Source organism: Homo sapiens, chromosome 4 (assembly GCF_000001405.40).
Source record: "Homo sapiens chromosome 4, GRCh38.p14 Primary Assembly".
NCBI lineage: Eukaryota > Metazoa > Chordata > Mammalia > Primates > Hominidae > Homo > Homo sapiens.
This window is the reverse complement of record NC_000004.12, coordinates 63,566,992-63,582,607: the sequence shown is the minus strand read 5'-3', so window position 1 is coordinate 63,582,607 and position 15,616 is coordinate 63,566,992. Positions and strand designations below refer to the sequence as shown.

General features: G+C 42.8%; 1 annotated feature.

Annotated features, from left to right (window-relative positions):
- Positions 1,424 to 1,553: an enhancer, noted in NCBI's record as "active region_21593". NCBI's record gives its function as "activates an Ori minimal core promoter by ATAC-STARR-seq in GM12878 lymphoblastoid cells {active_cell/tissue: GM12878}" and the evidence as "EXISTENCE:reporter gene assay evidence [ECO:0000049][PMID:35858748]".

The window sequence follows — 15,616 nt, the reverse complement described above, 5'->3', positions numbered from 1 at the left end:
TGATATGAGAGCCCATTATACTTTTTAGTGCTTGCTGAGGCTTCAGAAAAGCAGAGTCAAGAAGCCTTAAGGAAAGAGAGAAGACTGACCAAGGCTTTGTCAATACAGAGTATAAGAAATGGGCAATTGTGAACACTTGGTAGCAATTATGTCCCATGGAGATGGGTCTCCTTCTCTGAGTATCTTAGCATCCTAAACCAATCCTTCCAGTTACTATTGAATCTTCAGGTCCTTTTTTCTCTTAGCTTTTTATCTCAGACTTTACTTTTACAAGCAGTTATAGATTCATAGGAAAACTAAGCAGAAGTACAGAGAATTCCCATATACTTCCTGCCCCCCCCAACACACACACGCACAGCTTCTTTCACTATAAACATCGCCCATTAGAGTTGTACGGTTTTACAATTTATGAACTGTATTTGAAACTGACTCAACTCTCCCATACAACGGATATTTACTGATTTTTGGTACATAGAAATTTACCCTACCACTCTTAAAGATTGAAACTTACATTTGTCTTATCTGAGTTCCTTCCTCGGGAAACCAACTTTCAGGCCTCCCAGATAGTATTAAGGAGCTAAAACTTACCAGATCACCATATTTAGACAATGAGACCCCAGTCCCCTCACTCATGATGATTACCTAACCAACAACCTGCTTGTTGACCAACTCATCAGCTTTACCCCTCCTTATTCCTGTTTTCAAACTCATAGTTGCATTTCTTCTTTGGTATATAAACCCCTAAATTTATCCAGTTGAGGAGATGGATTTGAGACTCATATCCCAACACTTCAGCTATAGCACCTTATTAATGCCTTCTTCCATGGCAGTACTTGTTTTCTCTGTCATTGGATTTCTTGTGTGGTGGGCAATGAGACCTAGACCAAACCCCTGGCATTTTGGTAACACATTGACAAATTATTATTACTCAAATTTCATAGTTTACAGTAAATACTTCTAGACAATGGAATTCTTCGGCACTAAAAAAGAAATGAGTGGCCAGGCACAGTGGCTCATTCCTGTAATCCCAGCACTTTGGGAGGCTGAGGTGGGCAGATCACTTTTAGCAACAAAAAACAGACAAACTCCTAAGCAGACAGGGATGGGTCCCCAGTGAAACCTGATCTTCAAGCCAAAGACAGCCTGAAGCCTGAAAACCAAGCTGCATCTGCTTCCAGATGCAGTTTGTGGCCCAAGTGAGAACTTCCTCGATGCCTCTTAAACAATTGAATGGTGCTTTTTCCAAGACCACCCATGGGCCAATCAGCACACACTCCCTCATTCTGAGCCCATAAAAACCCCAGACTGAGTCACACAGGCAGCTACCCACTTTCAGTTCCCCTCTCTGCTGAGAGCTTCACTTCACTCAATAAAATTATTCTCTGCCCTACTTAATCTCCTGTGTCCACATCCTTTATTCCTTTGGTACAAGAACCCAGAACTCACTGAGCTGCATGTGGCAGAAACAAATGAGCTTTGACCTGCCCCTGTTCACTGAGCTGTGGGCAGCAAAAATAAGAGAGAGAGCTGTAACATTTCCTGGGGACTGAGACCTTGGGACTCCCCAGGCAAAAGCTGTAACACCCCTTGGGGCCCCACAGTTGTTGACATCTCTAAGTTTTCAGGCACCACTGCATGCACCTCATCTAGATGCCAGCACACAAAGTGGAAGCTGCTTGTGGCACACCCAGTCCAGCTGCAGGCTAAATGTGCAGCTGTGGCAGGCACAAGATCTGTCCCAGCAGTGCAAGCTAAGTGCAGCCTGGCAGGCTGAGTTGTTGGAGCAAGCCTGGTAGGCCTGAGCAAGGTCCTGGGTAGAGGTCAGGGTGGCTGCAGAGATTTCCAGCTGTGGAAGCAGCACTGAAAGAATCCTGAAACACTGTAACTCTCCCTCCTGCTCATCCAGCAATAGGGGAGAAAAAGTCACTGGGAGCTATTTCTTCCAGCTCACTGAACTACAAAAGCTGCAACATTTTGGGGTCATTCATCAAGAATTGTCAGAAGGGTAAGTAAGTGCTGACCCAAGACTTGGATAGCATGACTGCAGAGAACATAATTGCTGAGGAGGACTTTGTCAATTCCCCATCACACTCACTTGTTGAGAATGTTGGCTTTTTTCCAATCCAGTTTATTTTCATGAAGGTCTAACCATAACATGGGATTGGAAGGAGGTCCTGGGGCAGTTGAGGGTCTCTGGCTGAGGCTGCACATTGGTCTTATCCAAAGGCCACTTGACTGACGCCAGTCCCCAACAGCCCATTAGGGTGTCAGCACTAGGACCTCCAGCATTTTCTGTCTCATTTACTTTTTTCTTTCGTGGCTGTCATGGCTCATATATGCCAAGGCCAGCTCTGTCATGGAGACCCTAACCCAGCGACACTAGAGGAATTAAAGACACACACACAGAAATATAGAGTGTAGAGTGGGAAATCAGGGGTCTCACAGCCTTCAGATCTGAGAGCCTTGAACAGAGATTTACCCACATATTTATTCACAGCAAGCCAGTCTTAAGATTTACTAAAAGTATTCCTTACGAGAAATAAAGGGATGGGCCCTGGCTAGTTATCTGCAGCATGAACATGTCCTTAAGGCACAGATCACTCATGCTATTGTTTGTGGTTTAAGAATGCCTTAAGTGGTTTTCCGCCCTGGGTGGGTCAGGTGTTCCTTGCCCTCATTCCGGTAAACCGACAACCTTCCAGCTGGACATCAAGGCCATCATGAGCATGTCAGAGTACTACAGAGATTTTGTTTATGGCCAGATTTTGGGGCCTATTCCCAACACACACACACACACACACACACACACACACACACACACACACATATATATGAGATGTTAAGGGTGTTGTTGCAAACCACAGAGATAATATAACTGGGTAGAAAGTGCACTTGGCTCAGTCATCAGGAGTGTAATTCAGAACAATGTGGTTTCTGTCTATTCTTAGAAGCAAGGAGGATATTATGATTGTGAGTCTTCATTCCCCTGTTGAAGAAGTTCATTAGCATAGGGCAAGAGGCTACTTCCCCCAAGCACCTTTCCTCCCTTGCATTTAGGTTTGTTGCCCACCCCCCACCATGAAAAGAGTCAACATACTCCCATGAATACAGGGAACTTTTCTAAGCAAGGGATTATTTTTTGCCTCTTGGAAGACATCTTATTAGGCCAGGTCCCCAGTTTCTGAGACTTCCTTTCTTTCTCTTGTTTGAGGAGAATCTGTTTCCATACTTTCACTTTACTCCAATGTATCTTCCAAATACTCCAATGTATTTTCCAAACTTCAGTTTGAAGCTCTAAAAGAATGCTAGATCTGAGGGACCCAGAGACAGTTGACAGCAAAGGGCTAGGCCACAGCACCGGTAAGCAAGAATCTCCCTGCTGACTAGACCTTTCTGCTTCATGGATGAATAACTTGCTTACATCCATGGCATGGATAAGGTCTAGGGAACCCAAAGCTTACTGATGGTGAAAGACCAGTGCATAGCATAGGTAAGTGCTATTATTTCTACTGAAAAGGCCTTTCTGTTTCATGGGTGGAGGTTGCACTCACATCCATGGATGGTACCTATAGTAGCCATTAGGACTTAGGAAGGAAAGGAGGAAAGAAAGAATGGGACACATTTCTTTCTTTCTCTAACATATCCTGGGTTTTAGCTGGAAGAGAGAAAGAAACTAAGGGATGCATTTCTTTTTCTCTTTCATGTAGGTAACAAATCCTCTTCAGCCTGCATTCCTTTTGAGTGTATCCTGAATCACTGGGCCTCCTTTGACTCTCAGACGCTGTAGAAAAAAAAGTGCCTCATATTTATTTGCACAGGGATTTGTCTGGATTATAAATTGCAGGTAGGACAAGCTTGGCCTCAGGAGGAAACCATTGATTTTGAAACTATACTGCAGCTGGAACTCTTCTGTAAATGCAAGGGCAAATTGTTTGAGGTCCTATATGTGCAGGCTTTCTTTGCCTTGTAGGATAATCTGGACCTCTGCCAATGTTGTAGTATGAATTCTGTCCTCCTAGTGGCCATCTCAGGAGAGGCTGCAAAGAGCACTCCCAAGGGACTAGGGAAGCAAACCCCAGAGTTGCCTCAAGTGGGGGAGTCAGCTCCCTCCAGTCTTGCTCCTCTTGGTGCACCCCATACTCTCTATTCAGATTTCCTCTCAAGCCTGTCCCACCCTAGAAATCCTCATTTTAAGCAGGTTGCAGCCTCAGTCTTGCCTCTATAAGAGATTCCTTGTGAATATGGCCCCACGAAGGTCCAGGTACCCTTTTTTCTACAGGACTTAATACAGGCTTCCCAGAATTTAATCCAAGTATTTGAACTATCCTGGAAGAATGTTATGTTAGTTTTGAATCAAACCCTATCACTGAGTAGAATGAGCCTTATCCAGTCAGAAGAATAGCAGAACCTTGGAGAACCCTAAATGGGACCTCAATGATAAAATGGGAGAATAGAGGAGGAAGTACTTTCAGCTGTGCATTTTGGAGGGCTTACAAAGTACTAGAACGAAGCCTCTCAATTACTCTGAGCTATTTATAATAGACCAAAAATCAGATGAGAATCACACTTCCTTCCTAGAAAGGCTAAGATAGGCCCTGGTGAAGCACACGTCTCTATCTCCTGATTCAGTCAAAGGACAACTAATGCTAAAGGATAAGTTTGTTACTCAGGCAGCCCCTGATATCAAGAAGAAGCTGCAGAAACAGCCCATGGTACCAGACAGTACTTTGGAGAACCTCCTGAAAGTGGCCACCTTGGTCTTTTACAATAGGGATCATGAGGAAGCCTGAGAGAGAGAGAAAGGAGACACAAGAAAAAGGCAGAGGCTGTAATGGCTGCTTTGCAGACTCTCAAACCCTAGAATACCCAAGATACACCTGTTAACTGTTAAAAATATGGCAAGCCAGAACACTTTAAGAAGGACTGCTCAGGCAGCATGAGGAAGCCACCTCTACCCTGTCCAATCTGCCATGGGGACCACCAGAGGATGGACTGTCCCTGGAGACACAGGTCACTAGGTCCAGAGCCAGTATCCCAAGTGGTCTAGCAGGACTGACAGGTCCTAGGGTTCCTCTCCTTAGCTTTGATGGTTCAGACCACCATTACAATCCAGGAGCCCTGGGTGATTCTGAAATTTAAAGGAGGAAAGTGGACCTCTTCCTGGACACTGGAGCAGCAATTTCTGTTCTCCTTTTCATTCGAGGCCTCCCCTGCTGTCTTACCATGACCATAAGAGACATCTCAGAAAAGCCTTTAACCCAGTATCTTCTCCAACTCCTTAGTTGTAGTTGAGGAGACCTCTTGTTTATCCATGCCTTTTTAATCTTGCCTGAAAGCCCAACTACTCTGTTGAACATGGATCTCTCAGCTCATATGGTGAACCACTATCCTTTTGACTCCAAGACAGACTCTGTCTCCCACTGGTGAAGACAGATATCAATCAAGAAGTTTGGGCCGGGCGCGGTGGCTCACGCCTGTAATCCCAGCACTTTGGGAGGCCGAGGCGGGTGGATCACGAGGTCAGGAGATCGAGACCATCCTGGCTAACAAGGTGAAACCCCGTCTCTACTAAAAATACAAAAAATTAGCCGGGCGCGGTGGCGGGCGCCTGTAGTCCCAGCTACTCGGGAGGCTGAGGCAGGAGAATGGCGTGAACCCAGGAAGCGGAGCTTGCAGTGAGCCGAGATTGCGCCATTGCAGTCCGCAGTCCGGCCTGGGCAACAGAGCGAGACTCCGTCTCAAAAAAAAAAAAAAAAAAAAAAAAAAAAAAAAAAAAAAAAAAGAAGTTTGGGCAACTCAAAGGAAAATTGGCTCAGCTACAACCACCATACTGCTCCAGATCCATCTTAGAGATCCCACCTTCTTCCCTTACCAGAGACAATATCCTCTAAAGATAGAAGTTAGAAAGGGCCTAGAAGCCATCTTTAAGATAACTTGAAAATCCAGGGCATCCTCAAACCCTGCAACAGCATTTGTAATATCGTGGTATTGGGAGTATAAAAACCCAATGGGTAATGGAGTCTAGTACAGAACTTCTGCCTCACTAATGAAGCTGTGGTTCCAATTCATCTGGTGGTTCCCAATTCTTATACCCTGCTAATTCAAATACCTGAGGAACTAAATGGTTCACAGTCCTGGACTTAAAGGATGCCTTTTTCTGCATATCACTGTACCCGAACTCCCAATATTTGTTTGTGTTCAAGGATCCTTCCAACCAGACCACCTGGCTAACCTGCATGGTGTTACTTCAGGGATTCCAAGACAGCCCCCACCTGTTTGGGCAGGCATTATTGAAAGATCTCTCTGAGTTTCTCTATCCTCAGGTTAAAGTTTTAAGATGTGTATATGACATTCTCCTCTGTGCCCCAACTGAGGAAATCTCCCCTGAGGAAGACAGTAAGGCTCTTCTTAATTTTCTGGCTAACAGATGATATAAGGTCTTAAAATCTAAGACTCGGCTCTGTCAGAATTCATTGAAGTGCCTATGTCTAGTCTTTACAGAGAGGACCAGGGTACTAGGTGAAGAAAGGATTAAGCCTATCTCCTCCTTTTGTCTCTCAAAACCCTCAAACAGCTGAGAGCATTCTTGGGCATTACAGGATTCTGCAGATTATGGATACCTGGGTACAGTGAGATAGCTTGTCCCTTATATCACCTAATAAAGAAAACTCAGGCAGCTAAGACTCACTTCCTAATTTGGAAATCAGAGGCTAAATGGGTCTTTGACTAATTGAAACAAGCCATGTTTGAGGCACCAACCCTTAGTCTTCCCATAGAGAAGACATTCAATGTTTAGGTGTCAGAAAGAAAGGGAATGGCCCTGGGAGTTCTAACCCAGGCTCAAGGCCCAGCTCAGCATCCTGTAGGCTATCTAAGCAAGGAGTCTGATTTGGTAGCTAATAGATGGCTGGCCTATCTCCAGGCAGTTGCAGCAGTAGCCTTGTTGGTAACAGATTACTAAATTAGCCATGAGGAATAACTTAACCGTTTATACCCCACATAAGGTAGTAGGACTGCCATCTTTTAAAGGGAGTCTCTGGCTAACGAATAACTACCTGCTCAAATATCAAGCTTTGCTATTGGAGAGATCTACAGTCCAGTGAAGAACTTGTCTCTCCCTAAACCCAGCCACCTTTCACCCAGAGAAAGCTGGAGAGCTTGAACATGATTGCAAACAGAGAGTAGTGCAAACCAGTGTGGCCAGAGAAGACCTAAAAGAAACCCACTTAGAGAACCCAGACTAGACTCCCTTTATGAATGGAAGTTCATTTGTATTAGTTTGGTGCAAAAGTAATTGTGTTTTTTGCCATACTTTCAAGAGAACAAGGGGTCCATAAAGCAGGGTTTCCAGTAATGCTCCTGAATGACACTACTAAAGGCATGCCTCTCTTCTTGAGCACAAGTGCTCAACTATCTGAGCTAACTGCCCTCATGAGGGCACTTGAATTAAGTAAAGGGGAAGCAGTTAACATTTATACTGATTCTAAGTATGCTTTCCTATTCCTCCATGTCCATGCCAATATCTGGAGAGTAACTTCCTCACAGCTAATGGGTCTCCCATTAAATACCTTCAGGAAATTAACAGACTATTATCCTTGGTTTTCCTTCCCCTGGAGGTGGCAGTAATGCATTGTAAGGGCCACCAAAAGGGGACAGATAAAATAGCTGAGGGAAATAAGTTAGCAAAACAAGCAGCTAAATAGGCTGTGATAGGATCCCAGATTTCTGATCCACGTGAGGCCCCTCTAATCTTGTAGTGCTCTGTAAAAGAAATAAAACCCCAATATTCTCCTGTGGAAATAGAATTGGCTGCCTCTCAGGGATACACCTTTCAACTCTCAGGATGGCTGCAATCAAAGGATGGCAAACTTCATCTAACAGCTTCCAGCCAATGGAAAGTTCTTAAAATCCTTCACCAAACTTCCACCTAGGTAATTATATAACCTATCAATTGGTTCAATGTTTGCTCTAAGGTAAAAATCCGCTAAATATGGTCAAACAGGTCATTAAATAATCCCCTCAAGTGACAGCTTCTCCTCCCTGGAACACAATGAATGGGAGGCTACTTGGGGGAAGACTATGAGATGAATTTCACCCATATGCCAAAGACAAGGGACGTCCATTACCTCCTACTATGGATAAATACCTTCACTAACTGGATAGAATCATTTCCATCTTGGGCAGAGGGAGCCTCTGAGAAGATAAAGCACTATTTAATGGGATAATTCCTTGCTTTGGACTCCCTAAGTACCTCCCAAGTAGTAATGGCCCCTCATTCAAGGTAGCTGTCACTCAGAGGGTCTCAAAAGCACTGGGCATACCATACCATCTTCATTGAACTTGGAGGCCACAATCCTCAGGAAAGGTAGAAAAGACAGGATATTATCAAAATGCACCTCAAAAAACTCTCAAAAGACTCATCTCCATAGATTACTCTTCTTTCCATAGCCTTATGACGTGATAGAAACACCCCTTCAAAGCTGGGTTTAAGCAAGCCCCTTTGAAATAATGGATTGATTGCCTTTTCTCACCAATGATTTATTGCTATACCAAGAAACCTCAGATTTGATTAAACATGTAACTTATTTGACCCATTTCCAACAAGAACTGGAGCAACTGTCAGAGGCCCAACCCTTTGAACTAGGACACCTCTATTCAAACCATGAAACTTAGTACTGGTAAAGGCAGTACTACTTTTTTTTGTTGTTTTTTTTTCTTCTTTTTTTTTTCTTTCTCCCTCTCTAGACTCAGATTGGGAGGGACATTACACCGTACATCTTTCTACTCCTTAGGCAGTGAAGATCACTAGAATAGATTCTTTGATTAATTATACTCAAGTAAAGTACTAGGAAACTAACGGAATTACCTCTGTTGACCCAGAGAAGCACCCAAATTACCGGTGTGAAAACATTGGAGACTTCAAGCTAAAAATGACAAAAGAGTCAATTATCAACCTTCCCTGGATATCCTATTTATAGTCTCATCTTTGCTTGCTGTTTTCACCTTTGTTCTGTTTCTCCCCATATGGAGACTTTGCAAAGGACCCCTTATTCTGGAATGTCCATGGGATTGTCTATTCCCTAAACAGCTATATCTTTCTTAAAGGTTAACTGCCTTCCCACATACAAGATTTAATTTATTTTACCAGGGTGAAACAACTCTGGCTACAACATTGTTTTCAGAATGATTAGTTTATTTTACTTCTTATTTCTCTTATCTTTGAAACTAGATTTTGTCCTTTTAACTCCTTTATATATAATAATCATATTTGGTCCAGGCATACATAACCTCTGTATTAGTCAACGTTCTTTAGTTGGACAGAACTAATAAGATAGATGTATATATAAAGGGGAGTTGATTAAGGAGCATTCACTCACACAATCACAAGCTGAAGTCCCAATAGGTAAACTGTAAGCTGAAGAGAAAGACAGCCAGTTTATACCAAAAACCTCCAAAGAAGGGAAGCCCACAGTACAGTCTTCAGTCTGTGGCTGAAGGCCTGGAAGCCCTGACAAACCACTGGTGTAAGTCCAAGAGTCCAAAAGCTGAAGAACTTAGAGTCCAATGTTTGAGGGCAGGAAGCATCCAGCACACAAGAAAAATGAATGGAAGACTGAGCAAGTCTGCTCTTTCCATTTTCTTCTCCCTGCTTTATTTTAGTAGGGATTGTTGGCAGCTGATTAGATGGTTCCTACCCAGATTGAGAGTGGGTCTGCCTCTCCCAGGCCACTGACTCAAATGTTAATTTATTTTGCCAACACCCTCACAGACACACCCAGAAACAATAATTTGCATCCTTCAGTCCAATCAAGTTGACTCTCAGTATTAGCAATCACAAGTCCACACATTGTCAACTTGAACCCATACACATCTCCTGAAATTATACATAATCTTCAAAAAAAGAAAATGATAAGGTAATAAATACACCTAATCTAAAACACTTATCCTTTACACTGTTGGAAGCACACTCATTCTTAACGTAAATGCTATTACATAAAGTTGACAACACACAAAATTGATAGACCGCTAGCAAGACTAATAAAGAAGAAAAGAGAGAAGAATCAAATACACACAATAAAAAATGATGAAATGGATATCACCACCGATCCCACAGAAATACAAAGTACCATCAGAGAATACTATAAACACCTCTATGCAAATAAACTAGAAAATCTAGAAGAAATAGATAAATTCCTCGACACATACATCCTCCCAATACTAAACCAGGAAGAAGTTGAATCTCTGAATAGACCAATAACAGGCTCTGAAATTGAGGCAATAATCAATAGCTTACCAACCAAAAAAAGTCCAGGACCAGACGGATTCACAGCCGAATTCTACCAGAGGTACAAAGAGGAGCTGGTACCAATCCTTCAGAAAAACTATTCCAATCAATAGAAAAAGAGGGAATCCTCCCTAACTCATTTTATGAGGCCAGCATCATCCTGACACCAAGCCTGGCAGAGACACAACCAAAAAAGAGAATTTTAGACCAATATCCTTGATGAACATTGATGCAAAAATCCTCAATAAAATACTGGCAAACCGAATCCAGCAGCACATCAAAAAGCTTATCCACCATGATCAAGTGGGCTTTATCCCTGGGATGCAAGGCTGGTTCAACATACACAAATCAATAAATGTAATCCAGCATATAAACAGAACCAAAGACAAAAACCACATGATTATCTCAATAGATGCAGAAAAGGCATTTGAAAAAAATTCAACAACCCTTCATGCTAAAAACTCTTAATAAATTAGGTATTGATGGGACGTATCTCAAAATAATAAGAGCTATTTATGACAAACCCACAGCCAATATCATACTGAATGGGCAAAAACTGGAAGCATTCCCTTTGAAAATGGGCACAAGACAGGGATGCCCTCTCTCACCACTCCTATTCAACATAGTGTTGGAAGTTCTGGCCAGGGCAATCAGGCAGGAGAAGGAAATAAAGGGTATTCAATTAGGAAAAGAGGAAGTGAAATTGTCCCTGTTTGCAGATGACATGATTGTATATCTAGAAAACCCCATCATCTCAGCCCAAAATCTCCTCAAGCTGATAAGCAACTTCAGCAAAGTCTCAGGATACAAAATCAATGTACAAAAATCACAGGCATTCTTATACACCAATGACAGACAAACAGAGAGCCAAATCATGAGTGAACTACCATTCACAATTGCTTCAAAGAGAATAAAATACCTAGGAATCCAACTTACAAGGGATGTGAAGGACCTGTTCAAGGAGAACTACAAACCACTGCTCAATGAAATAAAAGAGGATACAAACAAATGGAAGAACATTCCATGCTCATGGATAGGAAGAATCAATATCGTGAAAACGGCCATACTGCCCAAGGTCATTTATAGATTCAATGTCATCCCCATCAAGCTACCAATGACTTTCTTCACAGAATTGGAAAAAACTACTTTAAAGTTCATATGGAACCAAAAAAAGCCCGCATCACCAAGTCAATCCTAAGTCAAAAGAACAAAGCTGGAGGCCTCATGCTACCTGACTTCAAACTATACTACAAGGCTACAGAAACCAAAACAACATGGTACTGGTACCAAAACAGACATATAGACCAATGGAACAGAACAGAGCCCTCAGAAATAATGCCACATATCTACAACCATCTGATCTTTGACAAACCTGACAAAAACAAGCAATGGGGAAATTTAATAAATGGTGCTGGGAAAACTGGCTAGCCATAGGTAGAAAGCTGAAGCTGGATCCCTTCCTTACACCTTATACAAAAATTAATTCAAGATGGATTAAAGACTTAAATGTTAGACCTAAAACCATAAAAACCCTAGAAGAAAACCTAGGAAATACCATTCAGGACATAGGCATGGGTAAGGACTTCATGTCTAAAACACCAAAAGCAATGGCAACAAAAGCCAAAATGGACAAATGGGATCTAAGTAAACTAAAGAGCTTCTGCACAGCAAAAGAAACTACCATCAGAGTGAACAGGCAACCTACAGAATGGGAGAAAATTTTTGCAACCTACTCATCTGACAAAACATGCAAGTTTGTTACACGTTGTGCACATATGCCCTAAATCTTAAAGTATAATAATAAAAAAAAAATTAACAACACTTAAATGCTGATATGAAGTCAATAACTCGTGTGTCATGTGATAGAGAAAAAATAAAGGAAATAAAATGAAGATATTTTTAATACAAGTGTGTACATGCACAAACATGTTCTTAACAAAATAAGGAGAAAATACTAATGAATAATTACAGTTCTTCATTTCAGCAACTGGTCACATGGTCGTAGCTGGTATTGATGGCTACCTTCTTTTATTACCCATTCTGTATTCCCTTTGCTTCAGCAAGCACCTTAGCAGGTCATGGGTTTTTTTACCAGGTGGAGTAACCCAAACCTTCATTGCTGAATGGTCTTGGTCATTTGTAGTCCTACGTGGATTAGGTTGTTGTAGTTTCTCATTGACCTTAATCACAGGGCATGGTAATACTAAGGGACACCCTAATGAATCTTCTGTATTCCATACATATTTTTCCTTACCTCGGTTGCGGAGTAGTAGACTGATTTCATCTTGATAGTCCAGGTCAATCACCCCAGCCAACACTGTAATTCCCTTCTTTGTCTGTTCACTTGAGGTAGGAGAAGCCAAAAGTGGCCACGTGGTGGTCTTAACTTCCAGTTTAACAGAATTATGTTTTGCCTTCTAGTGGCAGCATTCCTCCCTCTGGAACTAAGAAGTCTAGGCCAACAGGATATAATGTCATGGGGACAGGAAGCAAAAATTTTGTAAGTTGGTCACTAGGGGTGATAGTGGTGCTACTTCCACTTCCACCCCTTAGTTTCTGGACCAGTGAATCCTGGCAGTGGGAGAAACAGTAACATATATTGGATGCTGATTCAGAGCATACATAGCCTTCTGGAGAACTTTGTCCTAGCCCTACAAAGTATTGTCACCTAGTTGGCATTGTAATTGTGACTTCAAAAGGCTATTCCACCATTCTATCAATGAAGCTTCTTCAGAATGATGGGAAACATGGTAAGACCAGTGAATTCCATGAGGGTGAGCACATTGCTACACTCCTATAGCCGTAAAATGAGTGCCTTGGTCAGAGGCAATGCTATGTGGTTTACTGTGATGGTGGATGAGGAATTCCATGAGTCCGTGGATGGTAGTCTTGGCAGAAGCATTGCATGCCAGATAGGCAAACTCATATCCGGAGTAAATGTCTATTCCAGTGAAGAAAAACCACTGCCCTTTCCATGATGGAAGAGGTCTGATATAATCAACCTACCATCAAGTAGTTGGTTGATCATCCCAAGGAATGGTGCCATATCAAGTGTTCAGTCTGGGTCTCTGCTACTTGCAGATTGGTCCCTCAGCAGTGGCTGTAGCCTGGTCAGCCTTGGTGAGTGGAAGTCCACGTTTCTGAGCCCATGCATAACCTCCATCCCTGCCACCATGTCCACTTTGTTCATGGGCCCATTGGACAATGACAGGGGTTGCTGTGGAAAGAGGCTGAGTGGTGTCTACAGAACGAGTCATTCTATCCACTTAATTATTAAAATCATGCTCTGCTGATGTCACCCTTTGGTGAGCACTCACATGAGATACAAATATCTTCACAGTTTTTGACCACTCAGAGAGGTCCATCCACATACCTCTTTCCCAAATCTTTTTGTCACCAATTTTGCAATCATGTTTCTTCCAAGTCCCTAACCATCTGGCCAAACAATTGGCTACAGTCCATGAATTAGTACATAATCACACATCTAGCAATATCTCCTTCCAAGCAAAGTTCACAGTGAGGTGCACTGATTGAAGTTCTGCCCACCGGGGAGATTTCCCTTTGCCACTGTCCTTCAGAGATGTCCGAGAAAAGGGCTGTAGTGCTGCAGTTGTCTGCTTTTGGGTGGTACCTGCATGTCAGGCAGAGCCATCTGTAAACCAGGCCCCAGTCTTCTCTTCCCTTGTCAACTGATCATAAGGAACTCCCCATGAGGTTATCGGTGCAGGCTGGGGGAGAGAAGGCAGGGTGGTAGGAGTGGAGACCATGGCATTGGAGCCACTTTGTCACATAAACTACTTGTGCCCAGGAACTGCTTGAGCCCTATCATGTATATACCACTTCTATTTGATTACGGAATACTGCTGTACATGCCCCTCTTTTGGGCTAGATGGGTCAGAAGACACCCAGTTAATGATAAAGAGTTCAGTTCAATTGGTGACTTGATGACCCATAGTCAAACATTCAGTTTCTACCAAAGCCCAGGCACAGGCAACAGCTCTCTCACAAAAGGAGAGTAGTTATCTCCAGAAGATGGCAGGTTCTTGCTCCAAAATCCTAGAGGCCTCTGCTGTGATTCATCTATGGGCCCTGCCAAAGGCTCCAAACATCAGCCCTATCTGCCAGTGCCACTTCAAGCACCATTGGATCTGCTGGGTCATATGGTCCAAGCGGAAGAGCAGTTTGCACAACAGCTTGGAACTATGGCAGAGCCTTCTCCTCTTGTGGACCCCACTCAAAACTGGCAGCATTTCAGGTCACTCAATAAGTGGGCTGGAGGAACACACCCAAATGTGGAATGTGTTGCCCCCAAAATCTAAGTAGGCACACTAGGCATTATACCTCTTTCTTGGTTGTAGGAAGGGACAAATGCAGCAACTTATCCTTCACCTTAGAAGAAATACCTCGACAGGCTTCACACCATTGGACCCCTAGAAATTTTATTGAGGTAGAAGGTCACCGTATTTTAGTCAGATTTATTTCCCATCCCCTGGCACATAAATGTCTCAGCAGTAAGTACAGTGTGTTAGCTACTTCTCACTCACTGGATCCAATCAGCATAATGTCATCAATGTAATGAATCAGTGGGATATCTTGTGGAAGGGAAAAGCAATCAAGATCCCTTTGAAAAAGATTATGACACAAAGCCAGATAATTGATATATCCCTGAGGTGGGACAGTGAAGGTATATTGCTGGCCTTGAAGGCTAAAGGCGAATTGCTTCTGGTGGGACATATGGACATGAATTTTTTTTTAAAAAAAAGATGTTTGCAAAATCAATGGCTGCATACCAGGTACCAGAAGATATTTTAATTTTTTCAAGGAATAAAACCACATCTGGTACAGTAGCTGCAATTGGAGTTGCCACTTGGTTAAGCTTATGATAATCCACTGTCATTCTCCAAGATTCATCTGTCTTCTGAACAGGCCAAATAGGATAGTTGAACAGGGTATAGTGAGACACGCCACCCCTGCCTTGATAGTGGCACTAATCTCTGCAATACTCCCAGGGCTGCAATATTGTTTTGATTTACTATTTTTCTAGATAGAGGCATCTTTAATGGCTTCCATTTGGCCTTTCCCACAATAGAGGCCCTCACCCTACCAGCCAGGGAGCCAATGTGGAGGTTCTTCCAGGTGCTAAGTAGGTCTTTGCCAATTATGCAGTCTGGGACTGGGGAAATGACCACAGGCAACCCACTGGACCCACTCTAAGTAAAACCTAAGCTAAAACTCCATTAATTACCTGACCTTCATAAGCCCCTACTTTAACTGGAGGACGACAATGATGTTTTGGGTCCCCTGGAATCAACATCAGCTTATAGCCAGTGT